General features: G+C 44.7%; 1 annotated feature.

Moving 5' to 3' along the window:
* Positions 14745-15479: an enhancer, noted in NCBI's record as "H3K4me1 hESC enhancer chr2:129421710-129422444 (GRCh37/hg19 assembly coordinates)". NCBI's record gives its function as "activates a minimal SCP1, AML or CMV promoter by ChIP-STARR-seq in primed H9 embryonic stem cells {active_cell/tissue: H9 hESC(primed)}" and the evidence as "EXISTENCE:reporter gene assay evidence [ECO:0000049][PMID:30033119]".

Below are 23363 nucleotides of genomic sequence, written 5' to 3' on the forward strand. Positions count from 1 at the left end.
CCGGCCAGTTTGATAGTTTTATATTTTACATGCAAAAGACCCTGAGTTAAGTTTTGTTTAGGGTTTGAGGTTTAGGCCAAGGTTTTGGAGTTTTTGTTTTTTTTCTGCTTATGCACATCTAATTGTTCATTGAAAAGCTTTCCTTGATTGAATTGCTTTTGCACCTTTGTGAAAAATCAGTTGGATGTATTTGCATGGGTCTATTTTTGGGTTCTCTACTGTTCTTTGTCTGTTCCTCCACCAATACCACATAGTCTTGATTACTGGGGTTATATAATAAGTTTTGAAATCAGATAGATTGATTCCTTTCACTTCATTCTTCTTTTTCAAAAATGTTTAATGCTTCATGCTCCTTTGCATTTTCACAAACATTTGTCTATAAAAATATGCAGGTATATTGCTGGGGTTTTGATAGAAATTGTATTTTAACTTTATATCAGTTTTAGGAGAATTGACAGCTTTACTATACTGACACGTCCAGCATATGAAAATGGTATGTTTCTCCATTTATTTTGATCTTCTTTCATTTCTTTTATCAACATTTTGTATTTTTCCGCATACAACACATGTACTTGTTTTGTTAGATTTGCACCTAAATATTTCATTTTTGGATGATTTAAAATACTATTATATTTTTAAATTTTGTTATCCAAGTGTTCATTGCTAGAATATAGAAATATACAGTCATGAGTTGCACAGTGATGTTTTGGTCAATGGTGGACCGCATATACAATGGTGGTCCTGTAAGATTATAATGAAGCTGAAAAATTCCTGGTGTCCAGTGACGCTGTAGCCATCATCATGTCAGTGCATTATTCATGTGTTTGTGGTGACACTGATGTAAACAAATCTACTGTACTGCCAGTCTTGTAAAAGTATAGCACATAGAATTACGTATAATACATAATACCTGGTAATGATAATAAAGGACTATGTTACTGGCTTATGTATTTACTATACTACGCGTTTTATCCTTACTTTGGAGTTTATTTTTTCTATTTATTAGAAAATAGTTAACTGTAAAACAGCCTCAGGCAGGTCCTTCAGGAGGTATCCAGAAGAAGACATTGTTATCCTAGGAGATGACAGCTCGGTGCATGCCGTTACCCCTGAAGATTCCCAGTTGGACAGGATATGGAGGTGGAAGACAGTGATATTGATGATCCTGACCATGTGTAGGTCTAGGCTAATGCTTGTGTTTGTGACTTAGTCTTTAACAAAAAGTTTAAAAAGCAAAATAAATAAATAAATACGTAAAAATAGAAAAGATATAGATAAGATTAAGAATGTAAAGAAATAAAATATTTTTGTACAGCTGTATAATGTGTTTGTATTTTAAGCTAAGTATTATTACAAAAGAGTCAAAGAGTTAAAAAAAGTTTATATAGTAAAAACGTTATAGTGAGCTAAGGTTAACTTATTATTAAGGAAAGGAAAATATTTTTAAATAAATGTAGTGTAGCCTAAGTGTACAGTGTGTATAAAGCCTAGACTAGTGTAGAGTAATATCTTGGGGCTTCACATTCACTCACCACTCACTGACTCACCCAGAGCAACTTCCAGTCCTGCAAGCTCCATTCATGGTCAGTGCTCTCTACAGGTGTACCATTTAAAATATCTTTTATGTGGTATATTTACTGTACCTTTTCTATGCTTAGATATGTTTAGGTACACAAATACTTACTATTGTGTTACAATTGTCTGCAGTATTCAGTACAATAACATGCTATACAGGTGTGTAGCCTAGGAGTAATAGGCTGTACCTTATGGCCAGGGTGTGTACTAGGCTATACCATCTAGGTTTGTGTAAGTACACTGTGTGTTTGCACAATGACAAAATCCCCTAATGATGCATTTCTCAGAACGTATCACCGTTGCTAAGCAATGCAGGACTGTAGTTCAGTTTTGTATATTGAGCTTACAACCTAAGATTTGGCTAAATTCACTTATTAGTTCTAGGATATTATTTTTTAGATTCCTTGGGGTTTTCTACATAGATCATAATGTCATCTGCATATAGTGACAGTTTTAGCTCTTTTTAAAAATGTATATGCTTTTTGTCGTGTCTTATTGCAGTGTCTAATCCTTATTGAATAACAGTGATGAGAGTGGCTATATTTACTTTGTTCCCAGTCTTAGGGGGAAAGCAACCAGTCTTTCACCATTAAGAACAATGGTAGTTGGAGGTTTTTGTTTTGTTTTGTTTTTGTTTTTATATGCTCTTTATCAAGTTGAAGAAGTTCTCCTCTTTAATTTTCTGATAGGGATTATTTTGATTGATTTTAGTATTGATATTAAACCAATCTTTTATCCTGGAATATGCCTTACTTATATCATGCTATATTTTTTTATATTTCTGAATTTTAGTTGCTAATGCTTTGTTAAACATTTTTGTGCCTCTACTTATGAAGGATATCGGCCTGTAGTTTTCTTTTTTTATATTACCTTTCTTTGGTTTTAGTATCAAGGTAATACTAACTTCATAAATTAATTGGGTAGTGTTTTGTCCTGTTTTTTTTTTTTTTTAAGAAAATACTGTGTAGAATGCGTGTCCTTTAAATGTTGGGTGGCATTCACTGGTGAAATTAACTGGGCCAGGAGATTTTTAGGGGTATTTTAAATTTATGAATTCAATTTCTTTAATAGTTGAGCATCTCCCAAGTTCTCCATTTCAAGTTGCATGAGTTATGTTAGTTTGTACTTTCTGAGAAATTGGCCTATTTCAGCTAAGTTGTCAAATTGATGTGTATTATATTGTATTGTATTGTATTGAGTTGTATGTAATATTCTCTTATCTTTTGTTGTTTGCCAGGTCTTTAGTGATATCTCATGCTTTATTCCTGATGGGTAATTTGTATCTTCTCTTTTTCCTTACTAGGGGTTTGCCAATTTTATTGAACTTTTCATATAAACAGCTTTTTGTTTCTGTATTGGGTTTGTTTTCAATTTCATTGATTCTGCTATTATCTTTACTATTTTTATTATTGTTATTTTGATTTCATTGTAGCCAGAGAACAGTGTGGGATTTCAATCTTGAACATTTGTTGAGATTTGTTTTATGCCTCAAGGTATGGTCTATCTTGGTGAGTGCTCCATGGATGCTTGAAAAGAACGTGTATCCTGTTGTTGTTGAGTGGAAATTTCTGTAAGTTTTGATTAGATGCTTTTGAGGTAGGACTGTGTTAAATTCTATTCCTTGCTGATTTTCTGTCTAGTTGTTTTATCTGTTGTTGAGAGATGGGTTTTGAAGTCTCCAATTATTATTAAGAATTTGTTGTTTGTTTGTTTTTTAGTTCTATTCATTTTTGTCTTACATATCTTGCAGCTCTGTTGTTTGATGTAGACACATTTAGGATTACTAAGTTTTCTTGGTGGATTTACCCTTGTATCATTATGTAATGTCTTTCTCTGTCTTTAGTAGTTTTCCTTGCTCTAAAGTTTACTTAATCTGATTAATACAGTCACTCATGTTTTCTTTTGATTAATATTTGCATGGTGTATCTTTTTCTAGCCTTTTAATATCAGCCTCTCTATGTCACTATAATTGAAGTGAATTACTTGTAGACCATATATAGTTGACTTATTCATTCTTTTATTCCCTCTGTCAGTCTCTGTCTTTTAATCATTGAATTTAGAATATATACATTTAGTGTAATTATTGACATATTAGGGTTTAAATCTGCCATTTTAATTTTTGTTTTTTGTTTGTTCTCTCTGTTTTTCATTTCTCTATTTTCATGTTCTTTTTTCCTTATGGGTTGCTTGAACCTTTTTTTAGAACTCCAGTTTGATTAACCTATAGTGATTTTGAGTGTATGCTTCTAGATAGATATTTTGGTGGTTTCTCTATGTATTATATTATATATACCTAACTTATCACTGCCTACTATTGCCCAAATTTTGCTAGCTTGAGTAAAGTGTAGATAACTTCTCCTTTTAGTTCCTTTTACCTTCCAAAGTTTATAGTATAACTGTTTTACCTATTTAGTCAACACACATTTAGAGTCATATAAGACAGTGTTAACATTTTTGCTTCAACTATCAAACATAATGTAAAGTGTGCAAAAGGAGAAGGAAAATGTATTCTTCATCCATGTTTTGATTCTTTCCTTTGTTCTTTCTTCTTACCTAATATTCTAAAAGTCTTGCTTCCATTCTGTTTAGAGGACTTCCCTTAGCCATTCCCTTAAGGTGGGATAATTGATGACAAAAATCTCTTTGCTTCATCTGAGAGTGTCTTGAATTCCCCTTCATTCTTGAAGGATATTTTCTCTGGACGTAGAATTCTGTTTTTTATTTTTGCTTTTTTTTTTTTTTTCCTTTTAGCTACTTCCTTTGTAGTGTCTGTTGAGAAAATCTACTGTCGTTTGAATTATTTTTCCTTTTTAGGTAAGGTATAATTACTCTCTTGCTGCTTTCAAGAGTTTTTTTTTTTTTTTTTGGTCTTCAGTTTTCAGAAATTTTACTATATGTTTTACAGTAGATTATTTGGGTTTATACTCTTTGGGTTTCTCTAAGCTTCTTTTTTTTTTGTTTTGTTTTTTTGAAATGGAGTTTCGCTCTTTTTGCCCAGGCTGGGGTGCAATGGCATGATCTTAGCTCATTGCAACTTCCACCTCATGGGTTCAAGCAATTCTCCTGTCTCAGCCTCCTGAGTAGTTGCAATTACAGGTGCATGCCACCATGCCTGGCTAATTTTTGTATTTTTAGTAGAGATAGGGTTTCTTCATGTTGGTCAGGCTGGTCTCGAACTCATGACCTCAGGTGATCCACCTGCCTTGGCCTCCCAAAGTGCTGGGATTACAGGCTTGAGCAACCACACCTGACCCTCTCTAAGCTTCTTGAATCTTGTCTTTTGCCCAATATGGGAAAAATTTAGCCATTATTTCTTTAAATACTTCTCAGTCTCACTCTCTTTCTTCTTTCAGGGCTCCAAGGACATGAATATTAGATCATATGTAATATGGTTTCAGTCTGTGTCCCCACCCAAAACTCACGTTGAAATGTAATCCCCAATGCTGGAGGTGGGTTTTGGTGGGAGGTGATTGGATTATGGGGGCAATTTCTAATGGTTTAGCACCGTCCTCCTAGAGCTGTTCTCCTGATAGAGCTCTCATGAGATCTGGTTGTTTAAAAGTGTGTGGCACCTCCCCACCCCCTCCCTTCTTCCTGCTTGGGCCATTTTGGCCATTTAAGGCGTGCCTGCTTCCCCTTCCCCTTTCACTACGGTTGTAAATTTCCTGAGGCCTTGCCACCAGAAGCAGAAGCTACTATGCCTCCTGTACAGCCTGCAGAACCATGAGTCAATTAAGTGTTTTTCTGTTTTTTTTGTTTTTTTTGTTTTTTTTTTTTGAAACGGAGTTTTGCTCTTGTTGCCCAGGCTGGAGTGCATTGGTGAGATCTCGGCTCACTGCAACCTCTGCCTCCCAGGTTCAAGCAATTCTCCTGCCTCAGCCTCCTGAGTATCTGGGATTACAGGTGTCCGCCATGAAGCCCAGCTAAGTTTTGTATTTTTAGTAGAGATGGGGTTTCACCATGTTGGCCCAGCTGCTCTCGAACTCCTGACCTCAGGCGATCCACCTGCCTTGGCCTCCCAAACTGCTGGGATTACAGGCATGAGCCAGCGCACCCAGCCAAACCTCTTTTCTTTGTAAATGACCCAGTCTCAGATATTTTTTATAGCAATGCAAGAATGAACTAATACAATATGTCTCTGAGATTCAGTTTATATATATTTTTTCCTGTCTGTTTTCTCTCTGTTGTTCTTCTATTGTTCTACCTTCAAGTTCACTGATTCTTTTCTCTGTCCTTTAAATTATGCTATGTAGCCAATCCACTGAGTTTTTTAAGTTGGGCATTGTAGTTTTCAGTTCTATAATTTCTTTTTACTTCATCTTTTACATCTTTTATCTCTCTGCTGACACTTTCTGTTTTTTCATTTGTTTCAAGCATATTTACAATCATTTATTGAAGGATTTTTATCACTCTTAATATCTTTTTCAGATAATTTAAACATTTGTGTCATCTCAGTGTTGGTGTCTGCTGCTTTCTCTTTTCATTCAAGTTGTGATTTTACTGTTTTTTTAAATGACAAGTAATTTTCAGTTGAAACCTGGAAAATTTTGGTATTATGTTGTGAGACTAGACCTTGGTCAAACCTTTTGCTTTTGTTGGCTTCTTAAGACATGACTCCAGCAGGAAATGAAAGAGTGGTGCCACCTTATTATAACGCAAAGAGAAGACAAGTCCAGTTTTGCCACTAGCTTCATTAGACACCCTAGAGAGGCAGGGGCTCCTCATTACTGATAAGTGGGCATGGCACTTCTGCTCTTCACTAGGTCTCTGTTAATAGCACCCTGTTAATGGCTAGAAAGAGCAGAAGTACCTTGTTGCCGCCTCCCAGGTGGCCTCCACCTTAACCACGCGGGTTGGCCTCTTTTCTCCTAGGCAGTGGTAGCACTCTCCACTTGACCATGCCTGACAGTACCCCAGAGGAGGTGAAGAGCACCTCGTTCCTGTCAGTAAAAGATGGAACTCCAGGCTTCTATGTGATCTCAACGGGCACAGCAGTGGGACCTCCTTACTGCTCAGGTGATGAGAGTTGCAGCTTCAGACTTGGCCTTCCCTGATACCACTCTGATAGGGGATTGGGTGTCTTTTTATGGCCTGGGCTGAAGCCTAAGCTCTCCACTGGACCTTGCTAGTGTCAGTGGGGCCATAGTTTTTTCTGTAGTATTTGGCTGGGGTTGGGCACTTATTATCTGTGAGTTTTCTGTGTTGCTGGGTAGCCTCCTCTCTGGTCCTTTGGCTAGAGAAGCAGCCACTGATTGGGCCTTTTATTACTCCGTCTCAAAAATGAATACATAAATAAAAATAAATAAATACATAAAAATTTACGCTTTTTTGTGTATCTGGTAGCCAGCTATTCCTGTCACAAGTCTACGATATACCACACAAAAAGAAAACCTAAGAAATGCACCTCCGTATCTTTTCTGAATTTTACATTTTAAAGGGTTTTAAAATAATGCAAAACAAAACATAGCAAACAACCATGACAACAACAATAACAAAACAAAAAATGTGACAGAGACCATATGTGGTTCCAAAAGCCTAAAATCTCCTTTACAGAAAATTTTTATTTGATCCCTGGTTTAGACATAAGTTAACTTTTAGAACAATGGAACAAATATAAATTTTATAACATTTTCTTTATGTCATTTCCAGTGCTTTTCTTTATATTGTATAGACCTGGGTATCTGTATCATATTTCCTCTAATTGAAGAAATTCCTTTTTCAGTTATTTTTGGGCAAATGTGCTAGTCATGAACTTTCTTTGTTTTGTTTAACAAAAGTGTTTTTATTTCTCCTTCAGTTTTGAAAGATACTTTATTGGATTTAGAATTCTGAGTTGTCATTGTTTTTCCTTCAGTTTTTAAAATCTGCCACTTTATTTTTTATTTTTTTATTTTTTTGAGATAGAGTCTCACTCTGTTGCCCAGGCTGGAGTGCAGTGGCACGATCTTGACTCACTGCAACCTCTACCTCCCGGGTTCAAGCGATTCTCCTGCCTCATCACCCAAGTAGCTGAGATTAAAGACATGTGCTACCATGCTCAGCTAATTTTTGTACTTTTAGTAGAGACAGGGTTTTGCCATGTTGGCTAGGCTGGTCCCGAACCCCTGACCTCAGGCGATCTGCCTGCTTTGGGGCTCCCAAAGGGCTGGGATTACAGGCGTGAGCCACCGTGCCCAGCCAAAATCTGCCACTTTATTGTCTTCTGACTTGTACATTTTTTGATTAAAAGTCTTATGCAATTCCCATCTTTGTTCCTTTGTATGTAATATGCTTTCTCCCTCTGTGGCTGCCTTTAACATTTTCTTTTTATAATTGATTTTCAACATTTTAAAGATGATATGCATGGATTTGGGGAGATGGTTTATGCATTTATTCTGTTTGGTGTTTTTGAAGAATTTGGGTCTGTGGCTTGGGGGCTGTTATGAACTTTGCCCATTATCTTTTCAAATATTTTTGCTGCCTGTTTTTTCTCTCTTCTTCTCCTTCCAAATATACATATGTTAGACTGTTAGATATTATCCTACAGCTTATGGATACTCTGTTTTTATTACCACTACTTTTTTGTGTGTATGTTTTAGTTTGTATAATTCATAGTGACTTATCTTCAAGTTACTGATTCTTTCCTCAGCTGCATTGATTCTATTATTGAATCCAATAAAGCCTCTTTCAACTTTGTTATCATGCTTTTCATTTTTCATGTCCTCATTTGATTATTTCCTGTAATTTTCATATCTCTCTTGAAGATCTCCATCAGATCATGCATACTATCTAACTATTCCACTTGAGATTTTAACATGTTAATTATATTTATTTTAAATATTTCATGTAATAGCTTCAACATTTGTGTCATATCAAAATCTGGTCTTGTTGATACTGTTTTTTCCCCTGTGTTTCTTTGTGTGTCTTACATTTTTGTATGAGAGCCAAATATCTTCAACAGGACAACAGAGACTTACATAACTAGTGTTAATGCTTGGAAATGGATATTCCTCTTTTTTGTTTTTGGCTAAGACTTTAGTGTAATCATTTGAGTATATCTAGTCATAAGTTAAGCTGTGGTTAGGTTTTGTTATTGTTGTGTTCATGCTCAGTGCAATATGAGTTTCAAATTCTTCTCTGTTATCTTGTTTTTAGGGTAGGGTTCTCACATTAATGCACACTCAATCTTTAGAAATTCATTAAAATTTGTAAATAAATTCTTCTTTTACAGTGTCCATTGTCTGTGGCTGCTCCTTTCCTTGGAGGTGCCTATTTTCCTTAGATTTTGGGTTACTTGTTTATCCTGCAATCTCAGCTCTCTGATTTATTCAAGAAAAGTTGTGATTTTCGCAAATTATCCAAATTTTTTGGTTGTAAGATGAGAGCAATGCTCCTTCCGGTTTTTTAATATCTGAATCAGAAAATTGAATTTCCATAAAGCCCATTGTAAGTCTTTGGTAACTTATGGCCTGGCCAATCTCATCCAAACTATGTAGCCTCTATGAGCCAGTTTTCTGATCTATTAAAGGTAAATAGAAATACTTATCTCAAAAGGTTGTTATTTAAGATTAAATTAAGGATTAAAAAATACAGATAGCCAGCCATAGTGCCTGCCATGAAAGAGCACATTTTAATTCTCCTCTGCTTTCTGTCACCTAAGGAAGTGGATTAAGGATGTTTTACCAATGAGATTTCTTTTAAATGATTTGTGTCAACCAGTCATTACAAACAATGTGACCTCACTTGTTTATCATGATCAGAGAATGGACATCATCCTCATAGAGTCAGAGATAATTTTTAAGAAAACTGAAGTCTGTCACTAGAGTTGAAAGTCTGCATCTGATGACCTCTGCAGCATCTCCTGTAGTTTGTCCTTAGTTGGAGAGTGTACTTTCTACTGAGAAAGCCCTTTCCTTTCGCACAGCTCTGAGCGGGTACTAGGGATTTCTGTCTTTGCGCTGAAGGCTGTCTTCTCTGGCTCCCGCTGTGTGGTCCCAATATTAGTTCTTATAACAGGACTTGCTCATCTGAATGCTCATTGCCACGGCTTCCTTCCTTTATGTGAGGATAGCTCTTACCTACCCTCTGAGTAAGAGGGGGTCTTCTTGTCTGTAGGTGAAATCCATTTGTTGACTTTTCTTCATGTGGCAGGATGTCCTGGCCCACAGTCACAGCCCACTAGGTCTCCTCTGCTCAAGCCGCTCTCCAGGTGCGACTCCATCATGAACTGAGTCCAGTGCTCCAGGTAAGGGCAATCGGCATTGTGTCTGCCAAGACCGCAACTCCACTGTGCCAGATGCTAACCTTCCAGAAGCCAGCCCAAGTTCGTGCTAACTTTTTGGGTGTCAATATTTCTGTTGATTCCTTGACTAAAACTCCTAAGTGTCAGACACGTTGCTGCTAAACTGTACCTTCCTAATGCAGTTGGGTTTTAGCCCCAAGGACCACAGATGATGCTCGTTTTTACTGAGTGCGATCCTAGCTGGATTTGGCCTATTTCTTCAGCATGACACAGTCATTTCGGGGTGCTGATTCTTCCCTCCACCATATGCTTCCTCCTACACCGTCTTTACATCCGTGGAGCTGATGAGCTCTGCTGACTCATCTATACTGTAGCAAAGGTCAGATTTGGAGGAGCCTGGAGGGGGCAGCTCAGGTTCTTTGGGTTGCTCACTTGCCTACCTCGAGGCCTCCCTGTCTGACGGAGGCTGCCCTGTCCCCAGCTTCTTGCTGGCCTCCCAGGCTCATGGACACAACCAGCACTTTTGGTTTACATCCTTGCCATTTTATTCGCCTGAGGTTTTCCTATAAATATTAGCTTATCCTGGTGTTTCCCTGGTTTTCTTTCACTTCCAAAATGGTGGAGGGACTGTCAAAGAGGAGCTGCCACGAAGATTTTTCTGAGTTGCCTTCATGGATCTCCAGCTGACTTTTAGTCCTTTGAGTTCACTCATCCCCCAGACCTCTACCTTCGAGTATTAGAACTTCCCCTTCCTTATCCACAGCTGCCACCCTCTTCCCTTAGTCCTTAAGGAACACAAAGTCTAGTCCCAGCTCATGTCCAACTTCATTCCCACATATTTCTTGAAAGCAGGCTCTCCATGACTTTGTACAACTTGTCGATGATTCAGAAGCCAATAGGACGAGGTAAAGGGTCAAAGATGGCACCTGGCGGAGCTCACCTGAACCCCCCAAGGCCGACTTCATGAGGCGTCCATTTCAGCCTGGAGGCTCAGAGCATATCACAGCTCTCCAAGCTCTCCAGACTGGTTTTAGGCTTTCTTTCCACCCTTTAACACCTGCAAACCATTTTCCTTGAATGATAAAAGTAAATAGAAATTGGGGAATTCTTTTTCTTCATTTCACCCATCAGCGTTATGACATTAGCCCCAGATTTCAGCTTTGACTTCTTAAATGTGTGCTGTGAATGTCACTCCCCCAATACCCACCCATGCGGTTTAGATATTTGAACTTGTTTAGTGCTTTGCTGGCTTGGAATTCTCTTTTTTCCATTTTCTGGTCTCAGGACTTTTCCTCATTTCTGAGTAAGAGAGAACAAAACTGGAAGTAGTATAAATTAATATAAGAATTTTCTAGAGACAGTGAGAGGATGAAGATCAGTTTTTTATAGGAAAGGCTAAAGCATATTAATTTATTTTACAACTAGCGAAGGAAGTCGGGGTTTTGAGGTAGCTGGGGGCCAGAGAGGGAGGGGAAGAGAGGGTAGAAGAAGAAAGCCTCCTGGGTGGGACTCTTTGTCTGCCGTCCACACTCCTGATTGAAGTTGCTTCTTCCTGGCTCCCACTTGGCTCCTTTCTCTTAAATTGTGCACGTGTCTGAAATCAGAGCACCGTATATAGGAGACACATGCCAGTGGGCACTGCAATACTAGCTTTAAAGCAATTCAAAAAGTATTCATTGAGCTCCAACTGTGTGCCAGGCCCTTGCAAAGTTCTGGAGGTTGAGGAGACAGTAACATAGCCCCTGCTTCGAGCAGCTGAGTCTTGTGGGGGAAAACAGTTCAATAAACACCTGGCAATTATTCTCTGTGTAAGTGCCTTGCTGGGCGTGTGGGCACTGTGCAGTGGGAGCAGGAGGGATCAGCTGGGGAGCAGGCAGCGAGGCCGCCATGCACTACGGGCAAGTCTGGGATCCATCATCTCACCAAGTGCAAAGAGGAAGGTCCCAACTGGCTCCTCGCATTGACCTGTAAAGAGTTCTACATATAGGGGGGCATATGTCTGCTGGGGAATCCTTCTCTGGCTGCCATCTCCCCATCCCCTACCCCAGCATGCACTTCTAGATGCTCTGTATTTAATTTCTCTCTCAACAGAAACCTTTCTGTGGGCGATTGTACAGTCCCACATCTCCCCACTGGAAATCTAGCAACACCCAGTGTGGAAGGGGCAAGGGCAGAGGAACTTGCCTGCACTGCTGCAGGAGTGTACACTGGCATGATGTCTGGTGAGTCTCCATAAAGGCAAAGGTGCTCACGGCCCAACCAGCCCACCTGCAGCCTCTGCCCCGGAGAAAGCCAGTGCACAGGCATGGGGTGGCCAGCCCAGGAGTGTGGTCTGCACCATGACTGCATGAGCAGAACCCTGCCCATCAGCAGTGGATCAGGACTGGACTGAGAGGATACCAGTGCCGTGGAGTGCTCTGGGGATTCCCATTTATCAGCCTTGACAGAGCTTTAAACTGTAATGTGAAGAAAATGAGCACGTTCTGGGACAATATGAACGGTATCACATCATTTACAGAAATATTAAAAAACAATAAAATGAGACCTTAAAATGTTTCCAGACAAATCAATATGTAGTAAAAATATAAAACATGTGTGACAGTGACAGTGAGTTCCTGAGAGCAGTTACCTTTGGGGAGAGAGGAAGGGGAGTGGGATGGAGGCGAGGCAGGCAGGAGACTTCGATGATGTCTGTAATGTCTGATCCCTGCAATGAGAAGGAAACCTTGCCTCCACTATGGACAGATCACTGGCTACTGACCCTCTCTCTCCTATTTTATAGTTAAATTTCTCCAAACCACAGTCTAGATATTTTGTCTCCATGTTCTCAAATCTCAGGCATTCCTCAGCCTGCTCTCCTCTGGTGTCTGGTCCCCTTAAGACATGGAAACAGCTGTCACCAAGACCCTGATGATCTCCAGGTCACCGAATCCCAAGGCAGCACAAACGTGGTGCAGTGGTGTGCATGTGTGCACACTCACACTGTTTCCAGCATAGAAAACGTGAGTGGATGCATCACCGGTTTTAGCAAGTCTTAGCATTGTTTCTTACTTGCTTCAGATTTCCTTTGCAATCCCCCACCTTCTCCCTCAGCCTGTCTAACCCATTTCCCTCTGAGAGCTTCTGCGGTCTGCTGCTTCTCTCTCCCACACTGCCAGCCGGCCCTGGCTACACCGAGGTGTGGTTCCTTCCAGGTCCCAGCATGTACCAGCCCTATGGCCTGGACAGGTCCCTAGCCACCCGTGCCTCAGTTTCCTTATCTCAAGTTTATTGGGAGTTGAATGACCTACCACCTATAAAACCCTCAGGACAGAGCAGACTGCAGAGGTGAGTGTCCACCCACTCTCTCTTGGACTCCTGTGATGGACACTGGGAGGTTCACCATGCATGTCCCCTCCTCCAGTATCTCCTACACTGAAGACAAAAGGGCTTCGGAACCGGAAACTGTAGGTTTCTCTCCACAGTCTCCAGAACAAAGAGCCAGCTGGCCAGGTCCCCAAGGCTTGCGTGGCCTGGCCCTGCTCGCCTCATCCAAACCACCCTCTACTCATGCACTGCTCTTCCCTCTTCACAGGGCCTTGGGATATGCTTCTCCATCCTCCTGGCCTGGAAGCCTTTCTTGCTCCCACCCTACTTTGTCAGCGTTCACCTGTCATTCAGACTGGATCCTGTTCAGACTCACCAGGTGTGGATCTGCTTGTGTAACGAGCTCTCATTGTGTGATGTGTCTTTCTTCAGAGTGCGTGTAATGATATAGTTGTTGATTTACTCAGTGGTGATTTCTTGGGCACCTACTATGTGCTGGAGATTGTACTTGACACTGGGATGTATCAGGGAACACAGAGACGTTGTCCCCAGGCCAAGGAGCCTCCAGGCCCTCAGGAAGCTCCATTAAGCAGCAGTTCTGAGCACAGTGAGGCCACAGAGGAGAGAGAGATGTGCATTCCAGGCGGTATGCAGGGGGGCGGTCTGACCTAATAGGCAGCCTCTTGATGGCTTCTCCAAAAGTACCCGAGGCAAAAAAGGGGAAGAGAAGTCCAGGTAGCATATTTGAAGGTTTTAAAAGAGGAATGCTCATGACACTTTTGAAAACTCAATGATGTAAAGGGCAAATCAGGGAGAGGAGAGACCGGGGGAGAATGAGGAGGCAGTCAGGATGCTGGGAGGAAAGAGCATCATGGAGGAAAGGAGCCCTGAGGCTCTCTGGCGAGGCAGCGAGGCCAGAGGAGCATGCTGGCAACTCCTGTGTCAGTCTCCATGTCTCAGGAAAGCCCCCAAGAGTGGCTGGCCTGGCGACAGCCTCACCTGTCTCAGACATCAAGAAGTCTGATGGCAGGCAATCCTGGGCTGGGTGGGATGCTCAACTATGCCAGGGGAGACAGGTGCTCCCCTCGCTTTTGCTGTTGGTGCCCTCTGCACGTGGCCTCTGATCTCAGGCATGCTTTCTCATGGTCACGAGATGGCTGCTGCTCCTCCAGCTTGTGCCTCTTAGTTCCAGGAAGGAAGAGCAGGCAGGCAGAAGGGGTAAAGGGCTTCTCCTAGGAAGGTTTTGCTCTTGTTGCACTGTTGCTGTTTAATTGAGGAAGACTGCCTGCCCCCAGGACTTCTGCCTGCCTCTTACTGGCTAACTGATACAGCACCATCCCGAGAGGCTGTGTTAGTATTTTTGGTCGGGCACGCTGATATCTTTAAAAAGAAATGTTTTTGTTTTAGAAAAGAAGTGCCTGCCCCGGAAGATGTGAGCTGAGAGTAGGTGTGGGCCCCACAGTTAGAGTTCCAGGTGGCCTTTGAGAGAGGGGTTTTAGTGCCAGTCCTCAGAATGACAGTCTCCGATCCGGGCCTGTTGAGAAAGCAGGAAATCCTCACCTATCATGAGGATTCCAACCAGCAGGAAAACCCATGGCATCTTCTATTCTCCCTCGCTTTGCTGCCCAGGAGTTTTGGGGCCAGTCATGTATTTGAGGGGTTCAAGTTAAAGCTTTTTTATTTAAAAAACCAACTTTTAAATTTAATTTTATTTTAAACATCAAACCAACTCAACCAGATTATGCTGGGCAAAAAGTGGATCACTGCTGTGGGCAGGTGGGCCGTTCATCTCCAACAAGGAGCACCTGATCAGGGGAGGGCCACCCCTCTCCTCTCCCCTCCCCTCCCGTCCCCTCCCCTCCCCTCCTCTCCCTTCCCATCCCCTCCCCTCCCCTCTTCTCTCCTCCCCTCCCCTCCTCTCTCCTCCCCTCCCCTCCTCTCCCTTCCCCATCCCCCTCCCCTCCCCTCTTCTCTCCTCCCCTCCCCTCATCTCTCCTCCCCTCTTGTCCCCTCCCTTTGCCCTCTGCATGTGGCCTCTGATTTCAGGCATGCTGTCTCACAATCACGAGATGGCTGCCGCTCCTCTAGGCTGAAGCCACCTGCTGTTTAGAAGGGCAGGGCTGGGGGAAGCTTCCTGCAAGGTAGCAAGTCTGCAGGGTTCCAGTTCTTCTTGGCTGGGGCCGGCCCAGGACCTGGCATCTGGGGTAGCAGTGGGAGGAGGGAGAAACACCTTCCCCTCCCCAGACAGAGGAGTGCACACAGGAGGGCAGTGAGGAAGCTGGGCTGCTGTCCCCCTAGGCCCTCTCCTCTGTTCTCATTCACCCACAGGAGGGAAGTAACAGGAGAACTTGCAGGGAACACAGCCAGGCTTCAACTGAAGAATGCAGTACAGGCAAGGCGGTGCCCTGGACTGCCCTCTCTGTCCCCCAACCCATCCTCAACTGCTCTGCCATGCCTCTTCATCACAGCTAAAGTGCCACCTCTGTCAGGAAGCCCTCTTGGCCTGCTCTGGTCCACACTGTTCTCTTTTTTTCCAGCCATGTCCTGGGTCTCTCAGGCCCTTCCTTCTTATTGCTTTTTCCCTCAGGAGGATGTCTCTACTTTAACAGAACTGACAAGAAACAGTGAACCACCCTCATTCCTACTTCCCTCCAGGCGGAACCACTGGGAGGGCGCTGGCCCACTGGGCGAAGGCTGCCTCTACTTGGGATGCCAGAAGAGGTGCCTTGGGCAGGCCACCTGGGAGGACCCTCTTCCTTTCTCCTATAGGACATTTACAGAGGGTGGTCCTGGGGATGCTGACAGTTGGGAAGTGGCCCCCAACAACTCACTTACCTCCTTAAGGACACAGTGTGGGCAGTGGAGGCTGCAAGCCTGTTGGAGAGGGGGAGGGTGCCCAGAGGCGGCACTGGACAGGAGGGAGACCAGCAGGCCTCTGTGAGCCTGAGCCTTGCCCTTTCTCCCCTAGCCTGTCCCTGCCCTTCCTGGGTCAGGGTCTGGATCTCTTGCTGACAATCAGGATCCCTGGGAACCTGGCACAGACACGGGCAGATGTGCAGGCCTCACCCCAGAGCTTCAGGTGCAGCTGGTCGGGTGGGGTCTGACATTGGTATTTTTAATTAATTAATTAATTTTTGAAATGGAGTCTTACTGTGTCGCCAGGCTGGAGTGCAGTGGTGTGATCTTGGCTCACTGCAACCTCCACCTCCTGGGTTCAAGTGATTCTCCTGCCTCAGCCTCCTGAGTAGCTGAGACCACAGGCACATGCCACCACACCTGGCTAATTTTTGTATTTTTAGTATAGGCGGGGTTTCACTATGTTGGCCAGGATGGTCTCGATCTCTTGACCTTGTGATCCGCCCGCCTCAGCCTCCCAAAGTGCTGGGACTACAGGCGTGAGCCACCGCGCCTGGCCTTATTTTTATTTTTATTGACACATAATATTAATAATTGTACCAACTTATGAGATACAGTGTGATATTTTGAATCATGTATATATTATGCAAATCAGGATAATTAGCAAATCCATCATCTCAAATGTGTATTATCTCCTTGGTAGTTTTTACAGGCACTCTAGGAGGGTCCAGCCTTCAGCCAGCCTTGAGAGCCACCTCCTAAAGCCCTGTCCTTTTGTCACCCAGAGTGCGGCTCTTTGCAGCATCCACGTCTGGTTTGGATGGCTGCTGCAGCTTCAAGCCTGGGCTGCTGGATGACAATGGCGATGGTCGTTCTTCCTCCTCCTCTTCTTTCTCCTCCTCCTCATTCTCTTCCCCCTTCTTCTCCTGCACTTCTTACTCCTCTTTTTCTCCTCCTCCATCCTCTTCCATCTATTTATTGTGCGAATTATGAAGAGCTTTCTGTGTGGCAGATGCTGATGAAGACCCTGGGGATTGCACTGGGAATAGAACAGATGCGGTTTCTGACCCCACGGAGAATTCTGCTGGGGGAGCAAGATCCTGGTGGAGTCAGATTGGCACACACAAATAAATGTGAAATATGTCAGGTGGGGATGGAGGTCATAAAAAGTGAGGCAGACACTCGGGAGGCTGAGGCAGGAGAATCGCTTGAACCTGGGAGGCGGAGGTTGCGGTGAGCCGAGATTGCGCCATTGCACTCCAGCCTGGGCAACAAGAGCAAAACTCTGTCTCAATTAAAAAAAAAAAAAAAGTGAGGCAGAGAGGGCTATGCAGCAATGAGGAGGGTGCTGTTTTGAATTGGTTGGGCAAGAAAGGCCCTCTGATCCGGAGGCACTGAGTAGAGGCCTGGGGAAGTGCAGGAGGAATCCACGTGGCTGGGGAGTTGGGGAGCACTCTCGCACATGCCGAAGGAACACCGTGTGTGAAAGTCCTGAGGCTGGAACATGACCAGCATGGGAGATTGTTACTCCCTTCTAACTCAGCTTCTTTTTCCATGGTTTCTCCTGCACTTTCATCTTCTTCAACTTTTCCCTCCCCTTCATTTCTGCTGTCATCATCCTCCTCACCATTGTTTTCATGGAAACCCTTTTCCGAGCATACACAGTCTCCCAGATCCCTGTCTGAGGCGAGTGTGAGCCTTGGTGAGCTTCTTCCTGGTGGAGGTCAGTGAATGTCCACCTGGTGCGGCTTCATGCCTCTGTGCTTTGTTCTGGATCTTCCCTACGTCCTGGAGCGTCTTCCTACCCTTGGCCCATCCAGAAAAGTCCTCTTCACTCTTCAAAACCTTGCCTCCACATCTCATCTGGGAAGCTGTGGGTAGACCGTGCATCAGAGGCAGGGCCAGAGGCTGCCCCCTATTAATAGCCAAAGTGTGCACTTACTGTGTGCCAGATGCTGGGCTTCCTGTACTTATCTGTACCTCTGTTATTTCATTTAGTCCTCACAAGATCCCCACCAGATGGGCTCTGTTGGTAGCCACAGTTTACAGTGAGGCCATGGAACTTGCCCAGGGCCATGCAGTATTTGAACCTGGGCAGATGGCTCTGTTGCCGGGACACTCAGTGTTGCCTGCAGTGGGTTCCGCATTGCCTTGTCAAGACTGGACTTTCTCCGAGAGCCCGTGGAACTGCTGACCTGTTCCAAGCAGGGCATGAGCAAGGACGGGTGTTAGTCTTGCTGGGTCACTGTGCTGCAGTGTGGGGAATGGATTCCAGGGTCAGGAAAGGGATCCCAGGAGAGACGGCTGGGGTGAGGCTGGTGGGCAGTGGAGAGATGCTGATTTGGAGATGTACTTTCAGGAGGCAGAGAAGACAGGAGACTCCGGGTTTGTGATGAGGCTTGCTGAGGGGTTCCTGGCAGCATGCACACAGATCAGGGCTCATGTGGTGTAGGATGCCCAGATGGAGTAGCCAAGGAGGCAAATGGAGGTTCGAGACAGGGCCAAAGTGGTCTGTGCTGGAGGAGCAGACAAAGGAGGCTAGGAGTCACTCTGAAAATGACTGAGGCCGTGGGGGAGGATGTGGGTGTGATTGCTTGGACTGAATACAGTGGGCAAGCTCGGGGAGAGACCTGCCTTATGTCCTAAGGAATGTTATTTAATAAAACCTTTTAGTTAGTTCATTAATGAATGAATTCATCCATCCGTCCATCCATAGTTTCTCTAAGTTAAGCATTCAAAATTGCTTGTGTATCTCGAGGAATACACATAGATATTATGTGTGTGTGTGTGTGTGTGTGTGTGTGTGTGTGTGTGTGTTTTCTTTTCTTTTTCTTTTTTCTTTTTTTAGACAGAGTCTTGCTCTGCTACCCAGGCTGGAGTGCAATGGCACAATCTCGGCTCATTGCAACCTCCGCCTTCTGGGATCAAGCAATTCTCCTGCCTCAGCCTCCCGAGCAGCTGAGATTACAGGCGCCCACCACCACGCCAGGCTAATTTTTGTATTTTTAGTAGAGATGGGGTTTCACCATGTTGGCCAGGCTGGTCTTGAGCTCTTGGCCTCATTATCCGCCCACCTCAGCCTCCCAAAGTCCTGGGACTACAGGCGTGACCCACCACAGCCGGCCGTATTTTTTTCTTAATCCTAATATTTAAATCTAAATGTAGTTTAGAGCATGAATTTATATGAGTGACCTTTAAAGCTGTGTCATAAAAAGTTGTATGCTATGGAAAGTTTTGCAGTAATAAAGTTGCACATTTTAGAGAGTCTCCATTTAGAATGGTTAGGACTTGGAGTAGATATTAAGCATCATGCAAAATTTTAGGAAGAAAACTTCAGGGTTTAATAATGAATTCAGAGAGAGAGATGCAGGGAAGAAAACAAGGGAAAGTGTTGATGGATGTAATCGGTTAGGGCCAGAATAGAAGTTTGGGAGATTTCACAGTGTTGTTGGGACAAACTTCACATAGGCATGAGTATATTACTTCTAGCAGTACTCATAGTTATAATTAAAATAATAATGACAATAATTACAACATTGTAAATGTGCCTTATATAGCCTCTTTAAGTTAACAAAGTGGTTTCTTATTTTCTTGGTTACTTCTGTCCACTCAGAGTGTGTGTATCTCTTCCTTACAATAATCACCTCTGAAGGGGTGAGGGGAATTCTGTTGATACATGGGATTAGGAAGCAGCACTGATGGGATTATCAGGTTCCAATCCACATAGTTTTGGCCAAATTACTCACCTTCTCTTCTCTCTGTGTTTGGTGTGCAGAACATGCTGTGGCAGTGTGAGGTTTTTGGACTCAGTGGAGGCAAGATGTGGCTTGTTAATTCATTCAGCAGCTGTTTCCTGGGCACCTGCGCCATGTTGTGGCACTGCACGGGGCTCTGGGATGCTCACTAGCACACATCTTGTCCTTTACACTCAGGAGACCTCTGAGATCTGGGTCTCTCCAGTCACCTGGGGATGCTGGTTAAAAAGCAAAGATATGGCTGGGCGTGGTGGCTTACACCTGTAATCCCAGCACTCTGGGAGGCTGAGGCAGGCAGATCACCAGGTCAGGAGATCAAGACCATCCTGGCTAACACAGTGAAACCCCGTCTCTACTAAAAGTACAAAAACTTAGCCGGGCGTGGTGGCGGGCACCTGTAGTCCCAGCTACTCGGGAGGCTGAGGCAGGAGAATGGTGTGAACCTGGGAGGCGGAGCTTGCAGTGAGCCAAGATCACGCCACTGCACTCCAGCCTGGGTGACAGAGCTAGACTCCATCTCAAAAAAAAAAAAAAAAAAAAAAAAAGCAAAGATAGAGAAGAAGAACCCATCAGGGTGAGCTAAGGAGTTCCCATCAAAAATGAGTTCTCTGAGTCTCTGAGTATTGAGATTCTTCAGAATCAGCCACTAAAAAAAAGGCTGGAGCCAAGGACCATTTCCTGCCTCGGACACCCTCTAATCAGTAAAGAGATGGAGGGCAGAGTTTTTATAAAGAAAGATGGTGAACAAAAATGCTGTGACCTAGTTCTGTTAATTCATCCCTGGGCCCTGTAGAATTGAAAATGAAAACAATATTGATCTTGTTCTGAAGGGACTCGCAGACCATGGGAGTGGCTGCAGGGAGGCAGCCGGGGGCCAGGCTGGATGAGTGGGGAGCTGAAACAGGCAGGTCAGGCAGAGGAGCAGCTCACCTGGGCTTAGGGTATGTCATCCACAGAAGGCACCTTTCAAAATAAAGGCTGTGACATTTCTGGTTCTGGGACAGTGAGGCATTTTTCTCCTTATTTCCCTTGCTAAGAACAGCTAAAAATATGCAACATTATAAAGTAAACATAAGCAGACTCTGAGAGCTTGAGAGAAGAAGGCAAACTGGCAAGGGATCTTGAAGAACAACATGGTAGGGAGTTCTCTGGGTTTTCTTTTGTTTTCATATGTTTTGGACTGGGTACTGGAGAAGCCAGCAAGCCAGGAATGCCAATGGGCGCAATGAAAAAACAGCTCTGAGAAAAGCCTTCTCTTTCCAGCTAAAAGACCAGAAAGGAACATACTAGCATGAAAAAAAAAAAAACTTTCAGACAACAAACCTTTACTCTAGTAAAATACTACAGAAAAAAAGTGTACTTTCTACCTCCCAGCAAAGACCATGAGCTCAGCAATAGTTACAAGATGCCCCTTCTCCTGCCCCCATCCCTGGGGTGTCAGCGGAGGCAGTGGGGATCTGTACTTCAACCTGCACTGGGTGGTAGTGAGGTAGCATTCCCATTCCACCATAGGCACAGTGACAGGGAGGGCCTGTTAAAACAGAATGTAGAGTCTCATAGAAAATACCAGGCCGGGCGTGGTGGCTCACGCCTCTAATCCCAGCACTTTGGGAGGCTGAGGCAGACGGATCACGAAGTCAAGAGATCAAGACCATCTTGGTCAACATGGTGAAACCCCGTCTCTACTAAAATACAAAAAATTAGCCGGGTGTGGTGGCACGTGCCTGTAATCCCAGCTACTTGGGAGGCTGAGGCAGGGGAATCTCTTGAACCCGGGAGGCAGAGGTTGCAGAGAGCTGAGATGGCGCCACTGCACTCCAGCCTGGCGACAGAGCAAGACTCTGTTTCAAAAAAAAAGAAAATAACCAAATGTCCAGGATACAACAGAAAACCCTCTTCACGCTAAGAATCAGAAACATCTCAATTTGAGTGAGAAAAGACAGTCAACAGATGGCCAATGCTGAAATGACAAAGATGTTGGAATTATTAGACAAGGTTTTATTTTTTTGTTTGTTTTTTTGAGATGGAGTCTCGCCCAGTCGCCCAGGCTGGAGTGCAGTGGCACTATCTCGGCTCACTGCAAGCTCCGCCTCCCGGTGTGTCCGGAATTGGTGGGTTCTTGGTCTCACTGACTTCAAGAATGAAGCCGTGGACCCTCGCGGTGAGCGTTACAGCTCTTAAGGTGGCGCGTCTGGAGTTTGTTCCTTCTGATGTTCGGATGTGTTCTGAGTTTCTTCCTTCGGGTGGGCTCGTGGTCTCGCTGGCTCAGGAGGGAAGCTGCAGACCTTGGCCGTGAGTGTTACAGCTCATAAAAGCAGTGTGGACCCAAAGAGTAAGCAGTAGCAAGATTTATTGCAAAGAGCGAAAGAACAAAGCTTCCACAGTGTGGAAGGGGACCCAAGCGGGTTGCCACTGCTGTCTCTAGCAGCCTACTTTTATTCTTTTACCTGGCCCCACCCACATCCTGTTGATTGGTAGAGCTGAGTGGTCTGTTTTGACAGGCTGCTGATTGGTGTTTACAATCCCTGAGCAAGACACAAAAGTTCTCCATGTCCCCACCAGATTAGCTAGATAGAGGGTGTGGACACAAAGGTTCTCCAAGGCCTCACCAGAGTAGCTAGATACAGAGTGTTGATTGGTGCACTCACAAACCCTGAGCTAGACACAGGGTGCTGATTGGTGTGTTTACAAACCTTGAGCTAGATACAGAGTGCCGATTGGTGTATTTACAATCCCTGAACTAGACATAAAGGTTCTCCAAGGCCCCACCAGAGTAGCTAGATACAGAGTGTCCATTGGTGCATTCACAAACCCTGAGGTAGACACAGGGTGCTGATTGGTGTGTTTACAAACCGTGAGCTAGATACAGAGTGCTGATTGGTGTATTTACAATCCCTGGGCTAGACATAAAGGTTCTCTAGGTCCCCACCAGACTCAGGAGCCCAGTTGGCTTCACCCAGTGGATCCTGCACCGGGGCTGCAGGTGGAGCTGCCTGCCAGTACCGCGCTGTGTGCCCGCACTTCTCAGCCCATGGGTGGTTGATGGGACTGGGCACCGTGGAGCAGGGGGCAGTGCTCGTCAGGGAAGCTCGGGCTGCACAGGAGCCCACGGGGGTGGGCGGGTGGGCTCAGGCATGGCAGGCTGCAGGTCCCGAGCCCTGCCCCTCGGGGAGGCAGCTAAGGCCCGGCGAGAAATCGAGCGCAGCCCCGGTGGGCTGGCACTGCTGGGGAACCCAGTACACCCTCCACAGCTGCTGGCCAGGGTGCTAAGCCCCTCATTGCCCAGGGCCGGCAGGGTTGGCCGGCTGCTCTGAGTGCCGGGCCTGCCAAGCCCACGCCCACCCGGAGCTCTAGCTGGCCCGCAAGCGCCGCGGGCAGCCCCGGTTCCTGCTCGCGCCTCTCCCTCCACACCTCCCTGCAAGCTGAGGGAGCTCGCTCCGGCCTTGGCCAGCCCAGAAAGGGGCTCCCACAGTGCAGTGGTGGCTGAAGGGCTCCTCAAGTGCTGCCAAAGTGGGAGCCCAGGCAGAGGAGGCACTGAGAGCGAGCGAGGGCTGTGGGGACTGCCAGCACGCTGTCACCTCTTACCGCGTTCACACCATTCTCCTGCCTCAGCCTCCCCAGTAGCTGGGACTACAGGCACCCGCCACCAC

Source organism: Homo sapiens, chromosome 2, assembly GCF_000001405.40.
Source record: "Homo sapiens chromosome 2, GRCh38.p14 Primary Assembly".
Taxonomy (NCBI): Eukaryota; Metazoa; Chordata; class Mammalia; order Primates; family Hominidae; genus Homo; species Homo sapiens.